This window comes from Homo sapiens, chromosome 16, assembly GCF_000001405.40.
Source record: "Homo sapiens chromosome 16, GRCh38.p14 Primary Assembly".
Taxonomy (NCBI): Eukaryota; Metazoa; Chordata; class Mammalia; order Primates; family Hominidae; genus Homo; species Homo sapiens.
This window is the reverse complement of record NC_000016.10, coordinates 50,303,616-50,320,429: the sequence shown is the minus strand read 5'-3', so window position 1 is coordinate 50,320,429 and position 16,814 is coordinate 50,303,616. Positions and strand designations below refer to the sequence as shown.

General features: G+C 53.1%; 2 protein-coding genes across 43 annotated transcripts in view, besides 3 other annotated features; one reads left to right on the top strand and one right to left on the bottom strand.

Moving 5' to 3' along the window:
* BRD7 (bromodomain containing 7) overlaps window positions 1–4,473 on the top strand; it is a 53,032-nt gene extending 48,559 nt beyond the window's left edge. For 5 of the 10 annotated variants that reach the window (NM_013263.5, XM_011523049.3, XM_011523048.3 and 2 more), the window contains 3 exons: window positions 39–182; window positions 400–543; window positions 1,164–4,473. In NM_013263.5, coding sequence (NP_037395.2) covers window positions 39–182; window positions 400–543; window positions 1,164–1,219 — 344 coding nt within the window. In that variant the 3' untranslated portion in view covers window positions 1,220–4,473. The remainder of the gene's footprint in view (window positions 1–38; window positions 183–399; window positions 544–1,163) is intronic. The other 5 variants (NM_001438175.1, NM_001438174.1, NM_001173984.4 and 2 more) reach the window with 1 other exon arrangement.
* Window positions 137–1,336: an enhancer, noted in NCBI's record as "CDK7 strongly-dependent group 2 enhancer chr16:50353005-50354204 (GRCh37/hg19 assembly coordinates)". NCBI's record gives its function as "activates an origin of replication core promoter dependent on BRD2, BRD4, P300/CBP, MED14 and CDK7 cofactors, with strong dependence on CDK7, by STARR-seq in HCT116 cells {active_cell/tissue: HCT116}" and the evidence as "EXISTENCE:reporter gene assay evidence [ECO:0000049][PMID:35650434]".
* ADCY7 (adenylate cyclase 7) overlaps window positions 2,295–16,814 on the bottom strand; it is a 73,437-nt gene continuing 58,917 nt past the window's right edge. For 12 of the 33 annotated variants that reach the window (XM_047433551.1, XM_047433552.1, XM_011522837.4 and 9 more), the window contains 16 exons: window positions 15,879–16,070; window positions 15,471–15,505; window positions 14,844–14,927; window positions 14,581–14,653; window positions 13,283–13,380; window positions 12,019–12,103; window positions 11,638–11,763; window positions 10,784–10,882; window positions 9,550–9,743; window positions 8,644–8,737; window positions 8,239–8,394; window positions 7,394–7,540; window positions 6,368–6,472; window positions 6,024–6,138; window positions 5,292–5,416; window positions 2,295–5,089 (listed from right to left, as the gene is read on the bottom strand). In XM_047433551.1, the coding sequence (XP_047289507.1) occupies window positions 4,925–5,089; window positions 5,292–5,416; window positions 6,024–6,138; window positions 6,368–6,472; window positions 7,394–7,540; window positions 8,239–8,394; window positions 8,644–8,737; window positions 9,550–9,743; window positions 10,784–10,882; window positions 11,638–11,763; window positions 12,019–12,103; window positions 13,283–13,380; window positions 14,581–14,653; window positions 14,844–14,927; window positions 15,471–15,505; window positions 15,879–16,070 (1,893 nt within the window). In that variant the 3' untranslated portion in view covers window positions 2,295–4,924. Of the gene's footprint in view, window positions 5,090–5,291; window positions 5,417–6,023; window positions 6,139–6,367; window positions 6,473–7,393; window positions 7,541–8,238; window positions 8,395–8,643; window positions 8,738–9,549; window positions 9,744–9,900; window positions 9,977–10,783; window positions 10,883–11,637; window positions 11,764–12,018; window positions 12,104–13,282; window positions 13,397–14,580; window positions 14,654–14,843; window positions 14,928–15,470; window positions 15,506–15,878; window positions 16,071–16,814 lie in introns of those variants that run through there. The other 21 variants (XM_047433560.1, XM_047433563.1, XM_047433556.1 and 18 more) reach the window with 4 other exon arrangements.
* Window positions 5,799–6,998: an enhancer, noted in NCBI's record as "MED14-independent group 3 enhancer chr16:50347343-50348542 (GRCh37/hg19 assembly coordinates)". NCBI's record gives its function as "activates an origin of replication core promoter dependent on BRD2, BRD4, P300/CBP and CDK7 cofactors, and independent of MED14, by STARR-seq in HCT116 cells {active_cell/tissue: HCT116}" and the evidence as "EXISTENCE:reporter gene assay evidence [ECO:0000049][PMID:35650434]".
* Window positions 10,298–10,592: an enhancer, noted in NCBI's record as "tiled region #2137; HepG2 Activating DNase matched - State 4:PromP". NCBI's record gives its function as "activates a minimal TATA promoter and a strong SV40 promoter by Sharpr-MPRA in HepG2 cells {active_cell/tissue: HepG2}" and the evidence as "EXISTENCE:reporter gene assay evidence [ECO:0000049][PMID:27701403]".

The window sequence follows — 16,814 nt, the reverse complement described above, 5'->3', positions numbered from 1 at the left end:
AGATCAAACAGAAGTGTGTCTGTTTTCTTACCACACAGAAGCTGAAATATTCCAGAAGAAACTTGATGAGACCACCAGATTGCTCAGGGAACTCCAGGAAGCCCAGAATGAACGTTTGAGCACCAGACCCCCTCCGAACATGATCTGTCTCTTGGGTCCCTCATACAGAGAAATGCATCTTGGTATGTTTTGCCTCCCATAAGAGGAGAGTCACGGGATGCTTCAAAGAAAAAACTTCTTGAGTACAGTGGTGATGCCACTATAGAGTAATGCTGATGTGAATCCCAGGGACAGTTTTTTTGTTTTGTTTTCTTTGCATGTGTACATTTACTGTTCTTTGGGATGCCTCTATCTAAAGGAACCATGCTTTAGTATCTGGAACTTTGTTTTTCTTTTTAGCTGAACAAGTGACCAATAATCTTAAAGAACTTGCACAGCAAGTAACTCCAGGTGATATCGTAAGCACGTATGGAGTTCGAAAAGCAATGGGGATTTCCATTCCTTCCCCCGTCATGGAAAACAACTTTGTGGATTTGACAGAAGGTACGTGCCCTGTTTTCTCTGGGAAAGCAGAAAGCTATGGTGACTATAGTCATCCCTCAGTGTCTGCCCGAGATTGGTATCAGGACCTCGGATTTGGTATTTACCCCACAAAGATAGCAAAATCTGTAGATGCTCAAGTCCCTAACATAAAAGGTATTTGCCTATACCCTACACACAACCTCCAGTATACTTCAAATCATCTCTACTTATATACTTCATAGAATGTAGTTAATAGACTGTATTTTTTATATTTTTTTCATTGTTTGTTGTATTTTTTTAATTGGGTTTTTTCCCCAAATATTTTTAATTGGCAGTTGGTTGAATCTGCAGATGTGGAACCCATGGATAAGAAGGGTCAACTGTAAAAGGAACATTTATCTGTTTTTAATGTATAAACTACTCTTAGTTTTCTTTTTATCTTGTCTAAAGAATTAATAAAGATTTCCTGTGTGCAGAAGAGCCACAATGATCACCTGATAATGCGCGTAGTCTTCAGCCTTGGATGTGGTGAAGAAGGGCTCTCAGCAGTTATGCTTCTGGATGGCAGCTTGACTTTCATGTCCCCTTTTTAATTAAAAGGTAAAAACAATGTTGAATTAAGTGATGTCTTTTTCTTTCAGACACTGAAGAACCTAAAAAGACGGATGTTGCTGAGTGTGGACCTGGTGGAAGTTGAGGCTGCCTGGTATTTGATTATATATTATGTACATACTTTTTCATTCTTAACTTAGAAATGCTTTTCAGAAGATATTAAATATTTGTAAATTGTGTTTTTAATTAAACTTTGGAACAGCGAATTTGGATGTTCCAGAGGTTGGACTTGTATTAGGTAATAAAGCTGGACCTGGGACTCGTGAGGAAGGAATGTGCTTGGGGCTGTTGCCATACCTGTGCAGCATTCTTTCAAAATAGTGCCTTCCAATGCTTCTTCCTTATGTCCCACAGACAGGATCATCACTAAGAAGCGTTCTTAAAACGGCCCCATCCAGTGAGATTTTCCGTTATACGAACATACTTGAAATAATTTTAGAATTTACTACTGTGGTTCTGCCCCTGCATACCCAGTGGGAATGATGCCCTTGTATGGGTAATTAGGCACCTCCCACCCACCCCTGACAAAAGCACACTGGGAGTTTTATAGCACTGTCACATGGCTAGTGTTCTTTTTTGGTTTTTTCCGTTTTTTAAAGAAAGAGGAGTTACTTAGTACTATAGCAAAGTAATAAGCCAAATAAGATAAACTAAGTCATCCTTGAATAGATCAGGGAATTACCAGATTACCAAAAGGTGACATTTCTACTTTACTTACTGTTTATCTGAAATACAAAGGTCAAGTACCCAAGGAGTTGAACTCTAAGTAGGAGACCACAAGATTCATGGCCCCCTTTTATCAGCAAGCTGAGATAAATGGTGATTTTGCTGAATCGGTATAGAACCTGTTATACACAAGGGAAAAAAATCAGGATGGAGATAGATAGATAGATAGCCTTGTTCAGTGAACAAATTAAGTTTGAAGGCCCTTATACAATCCTTCTATAAATCACCCAGGCAGGAAGCCATTTGATTTCTATTATTTTCCTGACTTTGAAAATTAATTAGTATTTAGGAAGAACAAATAGGGTAAAGGAAAATTAATTCCCTCAAAAGACTTAAAATCTTATGCTAAAAGAGTCAAATTTTCAAGTTGTTTGAGTCTACTTTTAATCTCTAGTGAGTTCATGAGGACCACGAAAATAAAATACCTTCAGATATTTGAGTTTTTCAAATTGCTAATTTAATGTATAAAAAGCAGCTAAACACTGGTACTTTATAAAAATGAAACAGCATTTTGAAACAAATGTTACAGATCTATAAATATTCATTATATAGAATAAACCCTAGTTACTTGCATGCACCACCTCAAATCATATTTCTTTACACTGACCTATTATATACACAAAGTATACAGTGGTTAATGATCTTCTCTTCTGTTTGTTTGTTTGTTTGTTTGTTAGGAAATTTCCTCAATAAGCCAGAAAACCTTAGGTATTATTTTCACAAAAGTTAACTCAGGAGAAATTGTAAGGAAGTCCTTGACCCATGGAGAAGGTCACTGTTTGTTTGTTTGTTAGATACGTGTGTCTGTCATAAAACAAAATGACACCAGTAATTACTTGGTAATTTAAAAACAAGTTCATAAAAAGAAAATACCTGCAGGTAATTTTTATGGTCAGTTATATTCTATAACCTGAACACTGAAAACTAAAAACTTTTACTTACAAACTATTATTATCTGAGCACAGCACAGTGCTTTGCTTTAATTGGAAATAAAAATGCATGAGTGAGTGGTAGTCAGTTATTTGTTAAACTCCCAACTGGGGTTTCTGTTGTTACTGAAGAAAAAAACAAATATTCCAAGAGTACAAATATGCTGACCTCAGAGAGGCCCAGTGCACTAATGTGTTTCTATGTTATATTAGCAACAGAAACCTTCCTGACTTGCCAGGAGAGCCCCCGCCGGGCAGCCCTGGTCACTGCTAGATCTTGAGAGCACAGATTTCAGTATAGTATTCATGTGAAACCAGCCCTTCATGTAAAAAGTTTTGGTGTGTAAAAAAGGCAACTTAAGCGAGGCTAATTGCCCTTACCAGCATTGTTGCCATGAAATTCCTTTATACAGCAAGTTCTTCTATTCATACTGATTCCACTTATGTGCAGCACATGAGAGCTGCCACTAGTCTACCCAGCACCTTTGTGCAAATTAGAATACACCTGCCCTTCCTCGGGCTGATAAAGCCACACGACACAGCACAGGCAGACAGGTTCAATTTTCGTTCCCTCCACCGCCACCCCCGCACTTAGCTGTACTCTTAATTTGCAGCCCGGGGCAACTCATCCCAGGACCCCAACAAGTCTGGTCAGTCACCCAATCTGCAACCCTGTATAATCATCTTGTAAAGGCTCCTGTATGCAAGACTTTGTGTAGAACTTTACGGGGTTCATGGGGACACCTAGCTAAGAATCCCTGCTATGTAGGGAAACTGAGTGCATTAGAAATCCTGGCGATGCTCTGGTGATGAGGCCACCGGTTAAGTCTTCCGGTTATGAAGTCCATTCAGAAAAAGTCACGGGCAGTTTGGTCATTTCTCACCCTGTTGTTACAGTTAGGTTGACTTTCAATTCCTTGGGAAGTTGAAGCACAGTAAGACACATCCCCAAAACCTGGCTTTTTGCATTTGCCTTGACTCACGCAGTTTCAGAGCAAGAACGGCTCAGCATTTGTGAGGGGGCGGGCTTCCCAGATCCAGGAGCCTCTGCATGCACCCATGCGGAGTAGATCCTTCTAGTTTTGAAGCTCTCCAGAGTTAGCTGTGAAGACTAAAGGAAAGAAGAGATGCACTCACAGGTTGTCCAAGTTGTCTCTAAACAGACTCCATTCCTTTCTGGTAAGAAAAGTAAGATACAGTTGAAGGACGGCAGGGGAGAACGCAAAGATGTGTGAGTAATCAAGGAAGAGGTGAAAGGCCGCACCTTACTTTCAAAGCACCTCTCTCCAGAATGCTTGCCTCACAAGCTGCCTCATTCAAAGGCAAGGCTCTGCTGCTCCCCGCCTTCTTGCTGTGACCACATTCCTCAGGACTCTATCCCCACAGCCAGCTGACCCCATAAGCTGATGCTAGACAGTAGTCCTCCTTACATGTCAGTGGTTAAAAAGGCAGAGCATACACTGGAGGGAAGAGATTTATGTCTAGTGTCTGAAAAGTCATTCAAAAGGATAAAAACCCCATTAATGTATTCATTTAAAACAAACATGCCAGACAAGGCAAAAAGTAACAGTGTTAATTGTGGTGTTTTTCTCTCTACCTGTTTGAAACCGTTTACAGATGTAAAACACCCCTTTCAGCTTCATTTACCAGAATGCCTCTGTGAGAAATGCTGTCATTGCCAGGCCCACCAGGGAGAGGGAGTCTCCAATCCGTGCTAGACAGCTCAGCTTACTCCCCCTTGGTGTCTAGAAAAACAGACCTCACTTGTGCGTGCCCACAGGCCACTGAGGTGGAAGTCTGTTTTCATCATGTGCTAAAGTTGCCTGCCTGGCACCTCAGGGAACAAAGATCTCAAAGTCAGCCCCGAACCAGTGAACATTCTCCAGCTGGCCTGGAAACTGTTACAGACCAGGCACAGAGCTTCTGGCCTCCCCTGCGCATTATGGCTCAGTGGCTGCTTCGAGCCAGAATCTGGTGCATGTGTCTGAGAAATCCTCCAGTGCAGGTCCAAAGAAGCCAACATGCACAGCCATCTGCATGCCTTTGGGATTGGCGTGGGGCGGAGAGTCTTCTCCTGGGCTTGCTTCAGGGAAGGAGACTGGCTTCCCGGCCTTTTCGGAATCCAGCAGGAGCCCTCAGTTCAGCCCCAGCCCCTGAAACTTGGCAGTGTCCGTACAGACAAAGTAAGTCCTCAGCTCGCCTTTGCCTTTGACGTTGATCAGGCCACGGCATTCACAAGAGTACCCGAGGCCCTGGAGGATGGTGCAGGTCTCCTCGGTAACCTGAAAAGGAAGAGAGACCTGTTGTCTTCAGAGGCGGGAAGAACACCTGTCATGGTAGGGACAGATAGAGACTGCCCAGGCATGCAGTCTGCCTTCCCTGGAGAGTGTGATAGCTAGAACCATGGCTGCTGGGTGAGACAGCAGCTCTTAAGTCCAAGTCCCCTCACCTCTGGGGAAGATCTTTTCCCCTTAGTCAACTGCTTCCCCAATAGGTCTTTACCTGGATTTTCCCAAGTTCTCCAGTGCTTTCCATTCGGCTGGCCACATTGACAGTGTTTCCCCAGATGTCATACTGAGGTTTTCGGGCCCCAATCACTCCAGCAATCACAGGCCCATGGTTTATGCCTGAAGATGATGTTTACAGTTACCCAAGCGTGCAGGCAAAGCCTCAAGCTTCTGCCCTTAGAGGAGGCCAGAGAATCCATACCCCAGCACAGGATGCGGGGACAAAACAACTAGAGTGAAGGCTGGGTTGCTTCCCAGAGTCACTGCGTTGCAGTCGGGCTTGGGGTATGAGGAGGGCATTCCCCGGCCAGCTCTTTTTCAGACTCAGAAGTCTGGGTTTGATGTTAACACTTGTATCTGCTAATCTCTCTTTTAACAAAGAATACTTTGTTAAAAGTATTAACAAAGGCCTGGCTTTGAGCGCAGGCCCGCAACTATTTAGGTTTAGTAACTTTGCTTCCTTCTCTATATTTTAAGGTCACCTGTTTACAGACAATAATTTTGGTTCTCCATTTTCTGTAGTTACGTATTATTAAAACTCTCAATGGTAACTATATGCTAACTATATGCAAAACATCAGAATAATTGTCCAACTGCTGAGCTTGTCAGATCAGAGGGATTTCTAAAACCTTTCATAATAGATGGCGAGGTGCAGCTGTGCCACACAGACTGGGTGGACTGGCCTAGAGGCAGGGGCTCCCCACCCCGCTCCATCACCCGGGCTCACCGACGCGGAGGCGGAAGGAGTTGAAGGAGTGCCTGTTGATGCCGTCCAGCTTACTCATCAGGGCGATGCTGAACTCCACCATGACACCAATGTGGGCATGCTGCCGCTCCAGCTCCTGCGGGACAGGCTGTGGGTCAGATCCTTGCATCTCCAGAGCCCCCAGACCTAGTGGGCCCTGGCGCGCCACTCTTGTTGAGGATCCCCACCACTAAAATCCTGGCTGAGCCCTACAAGTACCTGTGCCCCTCCCCCAGGACGAGATAAGGGCACACCCTTTAAGTAAGGTGACAGGTCACCTTTAAGTGAGGACAGTCAGCTGAATTTCACCTCTTGGGCTTGAGTACCTGGTTCTCGTGCCCTGAGGCGACGCTGAGCCCTGCAGCTGCCATGTACGTGCTGCCGATGGTCTTGATCTTCTCCACGCCGCTGAACTTGGGCTTCAGTAGGAGCTGCAGGCAAGAAGGAAGCGGTGAAGCAGCCGCCACTCCATAGCCGCAGCCAGGCTGCCCCTGCTTCTCAGGAAGGGTGTGGGGTTCCCTCCACCCATCGCCGCCTCTCGCACACACGTCTCATGGCTGCCCTGCCAGCTGAGCGCATGACTAAGCATGGTGAGGACATGGCCCTTGGCGGCTCCTGCTCTTCCTGTTGTCTCCGTCCCCACACTGTCTCCCTCTTCCCTTCCATCTGTGTCTGCACAGAGCAAACACAGCATTATCTACACAGGAATGTAGATTCTTTGTCTCCAGCAAAGAATTCAACCCAAACTGATTTCCTCTGTTTGGCTTGGTTGATAGCGTGGGCTTAGTTGGAAATGAAGCTAAGGGGCCTGAGTCTAATCTTAGCAAGCTGCCCATCACAGAGAAGATGCCAACGAATTATTTGCTGCATAAAACAGAATGAAAAAGAAATGTGTACCTTTATATTCTGTGTAATGTATGTTCCCCCCAGGCGGGCCACGTCGTTTTTTTTTTGTTGTTGTTGTTGTTGTTTGAGACAGAGTTGTGTACTGTTGCCCAGGCTGTAGTGCAGTGGCGTGATCCCAGCTCACTGCAACCGCCTCCCAGGTTCAAGCGATTCTCCTGCCTCAGCCTCCCAAGTAGCTGGGATTACAGGTGTGCGCCCCAAGCCCAGCTTGTAATTTTTTGTATTTTCAGTAGAGACAGGGTTTCGCCATGTTGGCCAGGCTGGTCTCGAACTCCTAGCCTCAAGTGATCCACCCACCTTGACCTCCCAAAGTGCTGGGATTATAGACCACCTTGCCCAGCTCTGTGTCACATTTTTAAATTGGGTTTTAGGATGGCAGGTGCCACCGCCCTTCCCTCTCCAGCATGGGTGGGGGCTGCTGCGCAAGGCTGGGCTAGAGGCTGTACCTCGTCGAAGTCGGCAATGATCTCATTGAGCAGGCGTAGGCACTCCAGCCCTTCTTTGTTGACATCGCACTCTGTGTAGAACACTTTGAAGTCCGGCACGGAGGCAAACATGACACAGACGCAGTCATAGGACTGATGGTACCAGTCCTGGATGGGAAGAAACCGGACCTTACACCACTTCACCTCTTGAGGGGACAGGAAGAGTGGCAAGGCCTCAGGAGCAGATGGCACTGCTGAACTGCCCAGCCCAGCTTTCGGGGAGTGGGGAGGGGGGCGGGCTGCATGAGTTTCATCTGGTGGCTGTTACCGGGTGATTAAGAATTGGGTGGCCAGGGAGGGTCAGGCTCAGGTTGGTTTTTGCTCACAGAAGCACCATGGGTGTTTCCATGTACACATGGGGTGAGAACCTCTGCAGTAGTGGAGGGTAACGGGAGGTCTTCATTCTCACTGGGCCTCCGTTTCCTATCTAGAAAACTTGCTACACATAACTAGTAGAAGTACAGACATTTTCATCAACACAGAATGTCCAGATCACAAACCCCTGAACACACATTTCATCCTCGCCACAAGCCTGTGGGGAAGGGCTGTCAGCCCATTTTACAGAGGTGAAGACCAAGGCCTGGGAAAGCAAGGTGCCTTGTTCACGACCACACTTGAGCCCAGGTCCCTGACCCCAGGCCCATGCTCTCACAGCTGATGCCATACATTGTCGCCTGGGCATCCCGGTGAGGCCAGGACCTGAGGAAGCCAAGCTCAGCATGCACTCCAGCTCCACACCTTCACCCTACGGACTGCGCCTGGACCGTCCGCCTCCCTGCCCCCGCCCCAGCCCCTTCTCAGCACACCTCGTTTAACTTGTCACCGATAAAGTGGGCAGCCACGTGGGCTGGCAGGACGTTCTCCAGAAGAAGGCGGTTCACGTTCTCCATGGTCTCAAACTCCTCGTGCTCCTTCTTGAACTTCTTCTTCCATAGGCAGTCCAAGCGGCAGTAATAGTCAATCTGCAAACGGCAGCAACATAAGCGCCCCGTCCACAGGCAAGTGGGAGCCGTGCTGCTGTGCATCTCCTAGCCAGGTCTGTCTGTCCCTGGCGTCCTTGGAGCCTCTGGCCAGGGGACCAGTGCTTTCCTGGCAGGACTCTAGTCTTTTCTGCTACTCCACCTGAGCCCACCCCACCCCACCCCATCTCCAGATGGAGGTGAGGAAAAGTGGGCAGAGCTTGGGGGGGGGGGGGGGGCCAGCCTCCTTACCTGTCTGGAGAGTGTAAGCAGGGTGATGTAGAACAGGACCAGGTAGAAATTGGTCATGGTCTTCAGGTCCTTCCAGGAACAGCTAGGGGTGCCACTGAATGCGAAGGGAGGCCCAAGTCACTCCCAGCACTCACCACTCCAACCCACTGAGTCATGCTCTCCAGGTGCCACGCACACCCAGGGGAAAGGGGAAAATTGATTCTAATGGGGTGGGTAGAAAACAAGACAACTTTGGGGTATTATAAAGGGGGGAGGGGAGAGGTGGGCAGGGAGATGGGGGAGCCCTTGTGGGGAAGACCTCTGATCTCACCCCTGAATGACCAGAATCAGCTGTGATGAGGGCCTGAAGGGAGCCCAGAACTGGTGAGCCAGGGTCAGTGGCAGGCGGGGTGGGGTGGATGGGTGGCATAAGGATTTTGCAGGTGCGGGGCAGACCCACAGGAGCAGGTTCTGTTCTGGGTCCCAGGCTTCCAGCTTTTTTGTTTAGGGGGGCCAGGTCCGCTCCTTAATCCACTTGGGACCCAGAACCCCTAGAACCACACACCCCAGCCCTGCCAGCCTCAGGTATCACCACCTGTCCAGGAAGAGATGGAAGCAACTGCTCCTTCCAGAACTCGAGACCCAGGATGTGGCCTTGAGAGGCACAGAGCTAGAGCTGCAGCCTCCTTCCCTCCCCACCACTAGACTGGCCTGGAAACAGGATGACCCGGTGGCCTCTGTCAGACTAGGGACTTCCTAAAGAACCTGCCAGTGAATTCCTCGGCTCTGAGCGCTGGACACCATCTGCCAGCCCCGCCCTGCAAGGTGCCCACTCCCCATGAACACAGAAGCCCCTTGGTGCGAGCAGGCAGGCACCAGATGAACAGGCCACCATGGGGATGGGGACGGGGACGGGCGGGACCCCACCTGGTGGTGCCGTTGGGCTTGGTGAGGTTGCCCAGGCCTTGGCCGCAGCAGTCCCACTGCCAGCATGGGGAGAGGTTGAAGAGCACCAGGTAGGCCACCAGGGCCACTGTCAGCAGCACAACCTTTGGCTCCAGGCTCATCCTCAGGAAGACCGAGCAGGCGATGAAGCCCAGGACACAGCTGCAGGTGTAGTACTGAGGGGGCAGGGTGTCACTCAGGACAGGGCCACCCCACCACGTACTCTCGCCTCCAGCCCAGCACATACCACAGAGCCCCACTCCCTGCACCTCAGCATCACGCTCTTGCCTTACCACCTCCCTTCTCAACAAAAAACAATGAGACCTAAGAGTGTCCAGTGTTGTTTTCACTGTAGTTTTATTTCTTATGAAGTGAGCTCATTTAAACGGGAAAAAACAGTATGCAGGTGCTGTGGATACAACAGACCACAGTCAAGGTCAAGGCCGGAGCGTGCATGCATCCAAGCTGCCTCCCTGAGTTTTTGTGAGCTTACCCTCCCAAAGGACCTCTGCCCTGCTCAAGATTGTGCTGTGGCTCCCCAGCCCCCAGAATAAAGACCACGCTCTTCACACCCCGGCATTCCTGCACCTCCCAGTCTGGATCAAGCCTGCCCCCGGCTCCATCTCCCAGTTCTCCCCACTCCCTCTCCAGGAGACAACCCACCCAAAACCCCACTGCTCCCAACACACGCCTCGGCTTTTTCCCATGCTGTCCCTTGTCCCAGAACCTTTCTGCCTTTTAGAGCCCAGCTCACTGCACTGCCAGCCTCTGAAGCTGCAGAGTCTGCTGTCTGCAAGGCCCTCCAGGCAGAGACCTTGACCTCTGCCATCAGCCTGTCTGGGCCTGCCCTGGCGCCATCACCTAATGAAGCCCCTCCCTGAGCTGTGCATACTCGTGTATAAAATAGTGACAGGCCTGTCAGAGAGGAAGTGCCCTGACCAGAGACCCGCACAAGGCCAGATGCTCCCCTCACTCCCTGCCTACCCACACAGCCTAGACCAAGCCTGCCAAGGCCAGGACTCCTCACTCCCTTGGGCCAGAGGCCAGCTGGGCCCATGGGACCCTGCTTTCCCAGCTCTGCAGGAGAGGCTGTTCTCAGCCTCCACATGCTGTGCTCTCAGGGGTCAGCACCCATGCTTTGAGGGTCCAAACTACACCTCTGGCAGCAGCAGCCCCACTCTGAATGAGGCCACGGAGCCGGGCCCGGCGCACTCACCGGGAGGGGCTCACACAGGGCTCTTGTCTTGCTGCTCGCGGCCAGTAGGCCTGTCTCATTGCCAACAGGCAGCTCTGGAACTTGGAAAGGCATCAGGGGCTGTAGAGGAGACAGGTCCCCATCAGTCCAGGGACAAGAACGCTGGAACCTGCCCAAGCCATGCAAGGTGGGCCCCAGGCAACCATGAGTATCACAGCAGCCTGAGGTTTCACGTTGGGATCAGCTCTGAGCACGGCTCAAGCCGCCGTGCCGACTCCCCACAGCAGCCGTCAGGTTCAGAGGGCAGAGGGGCTAGGAGATGAGGGTGCAGACACCCCCAGAGCGGCAGCAGCCAGGGGGAGGGGCCGGGACCAACATTTTCAGCCTCCCCAGGTGACCCTGAGGGAGGTGGTCACAGGAACACATTCCAAAAACCCAGGGTCCGGGGCAGAGAGGTGAGGGAGAGGCCCTAGCCCAGGATGCGGGGTCTGGGAGAGAGGTGGACAAGTGTCCCGCAGGCTGCTTTCTGCAGCACTGAGCCTCTGAGCCCCAGCAGAGGAGCAAGGGTTCATCCCTGAGAGGGGAAACTGAGTCTCAGAAGGGCCGTGAAGAATGAATGGGATGTCAGGATGTGGTGGCTCAAGGCATCACATCCTCCTGGAGCTGGCCACACAAGCTCTCTGGGCCCCCAAAGTCCGCATTTGAGAACCCAAAGGTGAGGAGCCCTGAGTGTACAAAGGGGAACCCCCCACATCCACCTGCTGAGCTCGGGGGAGAGGACAACCAGAGGCAGCTTTTAAGGCCACATTGTAGGCGTCCCAAATCTGGAGGTCTCCCTCTACCCCGGAGGCCTGCCTCCCCACCACGGGACCCACCAGGTTGATGATGGCCACAGTGAGCAGGCTGCCGATGGTCAGGACGGCCAGGGTCAGCCTCAGCAGGGGCTGTGTCTCCACCCTCTCAGAGATAGTGCAGAGCGTCCCCCGAGCTGGGCAGCACCTCTGTGGGGTAACAGGGTCAAGTCACCCAGAGCCAACAGCCTGGGCAAGGAGGGCTGGTCGCTGGCAGCCTGGGGAGGGGTATCCTCGGGAGAAGCCTCCAGGGCACTCAGGAAATTGTCCCCGAGGCAGGAGAGATGGGCACCCAACCTTGACCAGAGCAGGGGCTCAGCCCAGCCAAGCTCACCAGGGAGGGCTCCTAGGCAGGTGTCCTGAGGCAGGGAGGGAGGGCCCGCGGGGCCAGAGCTCCCCACTTACCGAGAACTTGGTGGCAAAGCACAGGCCCAGCACCAGCCCCAGTACACAGGCCACCAGCCCGAAGGACACACCCAGTGCCGCCGTCCTGGAGAGGAGGGAAGAACCTCAGTTCTGCCTAGGGCCTTCTGCCCAGGACCACCGCCCCCACCAATCCTCTGGCTCACAGCCACCTGTCCCCACCCTACCTGGTATTCTGCCCACAGCAAAGGGGACCTGTGAAAACTGTGGCCCAGCTGCCCCATGGGCAATACACAGGGCCCAGCTAGATTATGAAGATTGAGGTCAAGACCATATCACTCTTTTTGGTCCAAGTGTATAAGAAATGAGCAATGTCTCTGCAGCCTTTAGACTCAGAAAAAACTGTAAAAACGCATTCCCTATTACATCTTTCTTCGTTTTTTTTTTTTTTTTTTTTTGAGATGGAGTCTCACTCTGTCACCCAGGCTGGAGTGCAGTGGCATGATCTCGGCTCACTGCAACCTCCGCCTCCCAGGTTCACACCATTCTCCTGCCTCAGCCTCCCGAGTAGCTGGGATTACAGGCGCCAGCCACCACGCCCAGCTAATTTTTGTATTTTTGGTAGAGACGGGGTTTCACCATGTTGGCCAGGCTGGTCTCAAACCCCTGACCTCGAGTGATTCGCCCCGCAGCCTCCCAAAGTGCTGGGATTACAGGCGTGAGTCACCACGCACAGCCTCCCTATTATGTCTTTAGTAAGCATAGCCAAAACCACAATCCTGGTCGATGCTTCGGCCTAACTGCTCTTCTAGAAAGCACCAAGTAGCTGACCTTAGATCCCCCTTCCCTCTGACTTCACCCTCATCCCTATACCCCACCAGCAGGGCCCTAGAGCCAGAAGCATGAATCTCAGTGAGTTTTGGATAAATCATTAATCCTCTGTGCCCCAATTTCCCTATATATAAGAGAAAAAGGATGGCGCCTACAGTTTTCAGAGTCTATCCTCCTAGCACTCCAAACACCTAAGGCAAGGGCTGTCAACCAAAATGCATGCAGGCCACACATATGACAGGTGGCTGAGGAGAGAGACGTTAGGGAGTAGGGAGGCCTGTGGCAGAAAACACACATTCTATTAAAAAGAAGTGTTGGTAACTCAAGGTGTGCTGCCACAGCCCCTGGTCCAGTTGCTAGGACCCCAGCAGCCGACCCCTTCCAGCCCAAATCACACAGCTCCTTGCAGGTTCATAGTCACCTTCCAGCCTGGATCCCAGCAGGCCGGACCCCCACACCCCTCCCTGCAACTGACCTGGGCATGAGCAGGACATGGACGAGCAGGATGCAGACGAAGATCAGGCTGGCGCAGGCAAAGTCGTGGCGGGCCCGGGGGATGGGTGCCAGGCGGTACTGGGGGCAGCAGGGACTGTGAGGGGTGGCCACCAGCAGTGCCACTTGCCCACCCTGCCTCCAGTGAATCAGCTTTAAAAAAAACACCTCCCTGCTGGGACAGTGGCTCACGCTTGTAATCCCAGCACTTTGGGAGCCGAGGAAGGAGGTTCACTTGAGCCCAGTAGTTTGAGACCAGCCTGGGCAACATAGTGAGTCCCCATCTCTATTTTTAAAATAATTAAAACCTTCCCACCCTCCTTCAGTTCCAGGTGATGTTACACTTGGTAAGTTTCGCCTGTTTCCATTCTCAGCTTTTTCCTGTTTGAAGACAATGCCTTCCCCTGCCCTACACCACCCGTCTCTCTCTTTCCAAGGTCCCTGCAGAGCTCATGGCCCCAAGTACATGGACAGGAGCCAAGTCTGAGCTTCCGGGGCTGTCCTCACCTCAAACCAAGAAGCTGGCAGGTAGGGAGACCATCCCGCCCCCCACCCCCACTCCCACCCAGGCACCATCGCAGGATCACAGCCCCAGAAGGGTTCCTGCTGCAGGGAAGGAAAGCAGGCTCGGCGGCCCTGGCCACACTGGCCACACCCTGCCAGGTCACTTGGCCAGCAGGTTTCCTCGTGACCTCACCTAGGAAGCCCCCAACTCAGGGAGCCACACCTGAAGCTGGGGACAGGCTCTGAAGCCTCTGAGAGCCAGTTTCCTCTCTGTGAAGTGGTATAGCAGCACCCCTGGGCTGGCCGTTGTGACGGTTAAATTATATAATGTGGGTGCCGAGGATGCTGCCAGAACCCAGAAGGCGCTCAGTAAAGAAATGGTCGTTATCAGTACAAAAAGCTCATAGCAGCAAGACAGGACACTGATAACTGAGCTTTGGGTTCTCGTCTCATTGCAAGGCCGGTGCCATCAGCCTGAGGCATCCATGCCAGGATCTGCTAAGGCTTTGGCACTGGACGGAGCAAAAGTCTTGCAGACCCATGGAGGCAAATCTCTGATGGTGCATTTGGGTCATGGAATGAAGCCGACAGGAGAGAGCCAGGCTGGTGCTGCACTGGCCCCGCCCCTGCCCCCCGCCCAGGAGCAGCTGTGGATTCTCAGTGCCCCTCCCCTAGCCGGTCTTGGGAACGCAGGCTGCCCCATGACCTGCGTCCCCCACCCTACCCCAGGCCTGGAGACCCCGTCCCTCTGCGGAGGAGGCTGCTGGGGGCCCTCACCTCGCGCTCAAAGCCCTTCTCCAGGAAGATGGACCCAAAGGTGTAGAAGTCATCGGACTTGGAGCAGCAGGGCCTGTGGGCGGGGGCAGCTGCGGTGAGATGGGGGCTGGGAAGGGGTCCATTCCCTCAGGAGGTGGCAGCAGGCAGGGGGAAGGAACAAGGCTGGGCCACCAGGCATGGGGTATGAGATGGGCCTGCCCATATAGGGGACCCCTATCCGAGGGGGAGAGGAGAGGGGGGTGGACAGAGGTCTCAGACCTCACCTCGTGGAGCTGAGCCCCTCAATGGCTGACAGCATCTCGTCATCGTACGAGTCATCCTCCGACCGCCCCTTGGGGGACATGCTTCTGGAATCAGATACCCACAACTGCATCAGCACAGCGACCACCTCCAACTCTCCCAGAGGAGGGTGTGGACGTAGACACCAGTGGGGTCCCAGAACCTCAGGTGGGATGGTGAAGGAATGGGTGGGTCCCACTGAGGCCCAGAGAGGGCGAGTGAGGACCCAGCATGGCCCAGCATGGCCCAGCTGGCCAGCAGCCAAGCCAGAGGCAGAGGGCAGACCCGAGCCCCAGTCTAAGGCATCTTCGGCTACACCCCCGGGATTGGCATGGGGACCAGGACACCCACAGTCATCTCCTTCCCTTCCACCGACTCCACTGACCCCGCCAGGGCACCATACAACAGGTGCTCCATCATGTGGCCATGCAGAAGGGCCAGGGGCCAGGAAACTCTGGTTCCTAGAAATGCTTTGACCCAAGCCCTGGCCAACTTCACAGAGGTCCTGGGCTGGGCCTTGCGGAGCTGCCCACTGGACAGAGGCTGCTCAGGGCAGCCTGCTTGGAGGAGGTGGCTGCAGCAGGACTTGGCCAGGAGGGCAGGGCACGCACCTGTCTGGGGTCCGGCGGTGGCGCTGGGGAACGCTCTGAAAGGGAAGGGAGGAAAGGATACAGTCATTCCCCAGAACACTGGGCCCTGAAGGCCACTGCTGGGCCAGGTTCAGCCCCTCCGGCACTTGATACACAGGACAAGGTGTCGGGGTCGTCCAAGCCACAGACATCCTGACTATAGCTGAGCGTGGTCCAGGCATCAAGGAGGACAGGGATGTTCCTGGCCATCCCGGAGTATTCTCCAAATGTCTTTGCTTCCTCTCCAGCCCCAGGAGGTGGGGCAGAGGCTGTGGCCATTTTACAGATGGGGACAGTGAGGCTGAGAGGGCAGGAGATCTTCAGCACTCACTCTCCTGCTCCTGGCTTGGGGCCCCAATCCCTGGCTTTCTGGGTGGGAGGGGGACCTACCTTAGGCCTCCGCCCGTTGGGGACGTGGGTCTCACCACTGCTCACGCTCTCACGGTGGTTGAGATGTGCAAAGGGCCGTGCCGCCCCCCAGGACTCGAGGTACCGGGTCATGCGCACTGACGCCCGCATCTTCAGGGCCGCGTCCCCCTTGGGCCTGGGGAGGTGTTGGCTGGGCGGGGGTGGCTGCTGGCTCTGCGGGCAGACATGGACATGGGCCTGTGCCACCTCCTCCCCTCTCGGCCCAGGAAGGGGCCGCCATCCCCATCCAGCTCTCCCTGAAGTGTGACGCCGCCCTGAGCCCGTGAAAAAATAAACAGCAAAGAAGTTGCTCAACCCGCAGTCCCCTTGGAGAGCGGCTGCCCTTGGGGACTAGCCAGCCAAAGCCTGGTGCACTCTGAGGCCAGGCCATATGGGGTCCCAGCTCGGTGCCCTGGCCTTTCCCCAGGCCGAGAAGAGGCTAGCAAGTACCCACCACTGTACCCAACCCCATACCCTGCTCTGCCTCCCCAGGGAGAGAGGCAGGGCTTGGGTCCCAAGCCCGAGGCCCCACTGCCCTTGAGGCTCCTTGGAACCAGAGAGTCCCTGGGGCCTGAGCACCCATCAGCTCCTCCCCAGGAGGCGCCTGGGAAAGCCACAGGCATCCTACCCTGCCCTCCCACGTGTGGCCGGCACGCATTCGCTCCTTCCTGTGAGAAGCAGCCAGGAGGAAGAGGGGTGCTAGCCGCCCCGAGAAATGGCCAAGCCAGAGGCCAGCCAACCCCCAGGGCAGCGATCCAGGGAGTTCCACTTGTGTGGCCCCCAACCGCAGATGGCACAGGGCCATGACCTGCCACGTGCCTGCGAGACCCAGCCTCATGCTGGACACTCAGTAGTTCAGCCAGGCCCTGAATGCACGGCCAGCCCTACCCGCCCCCACTCATGCCACAGACCTGAGAC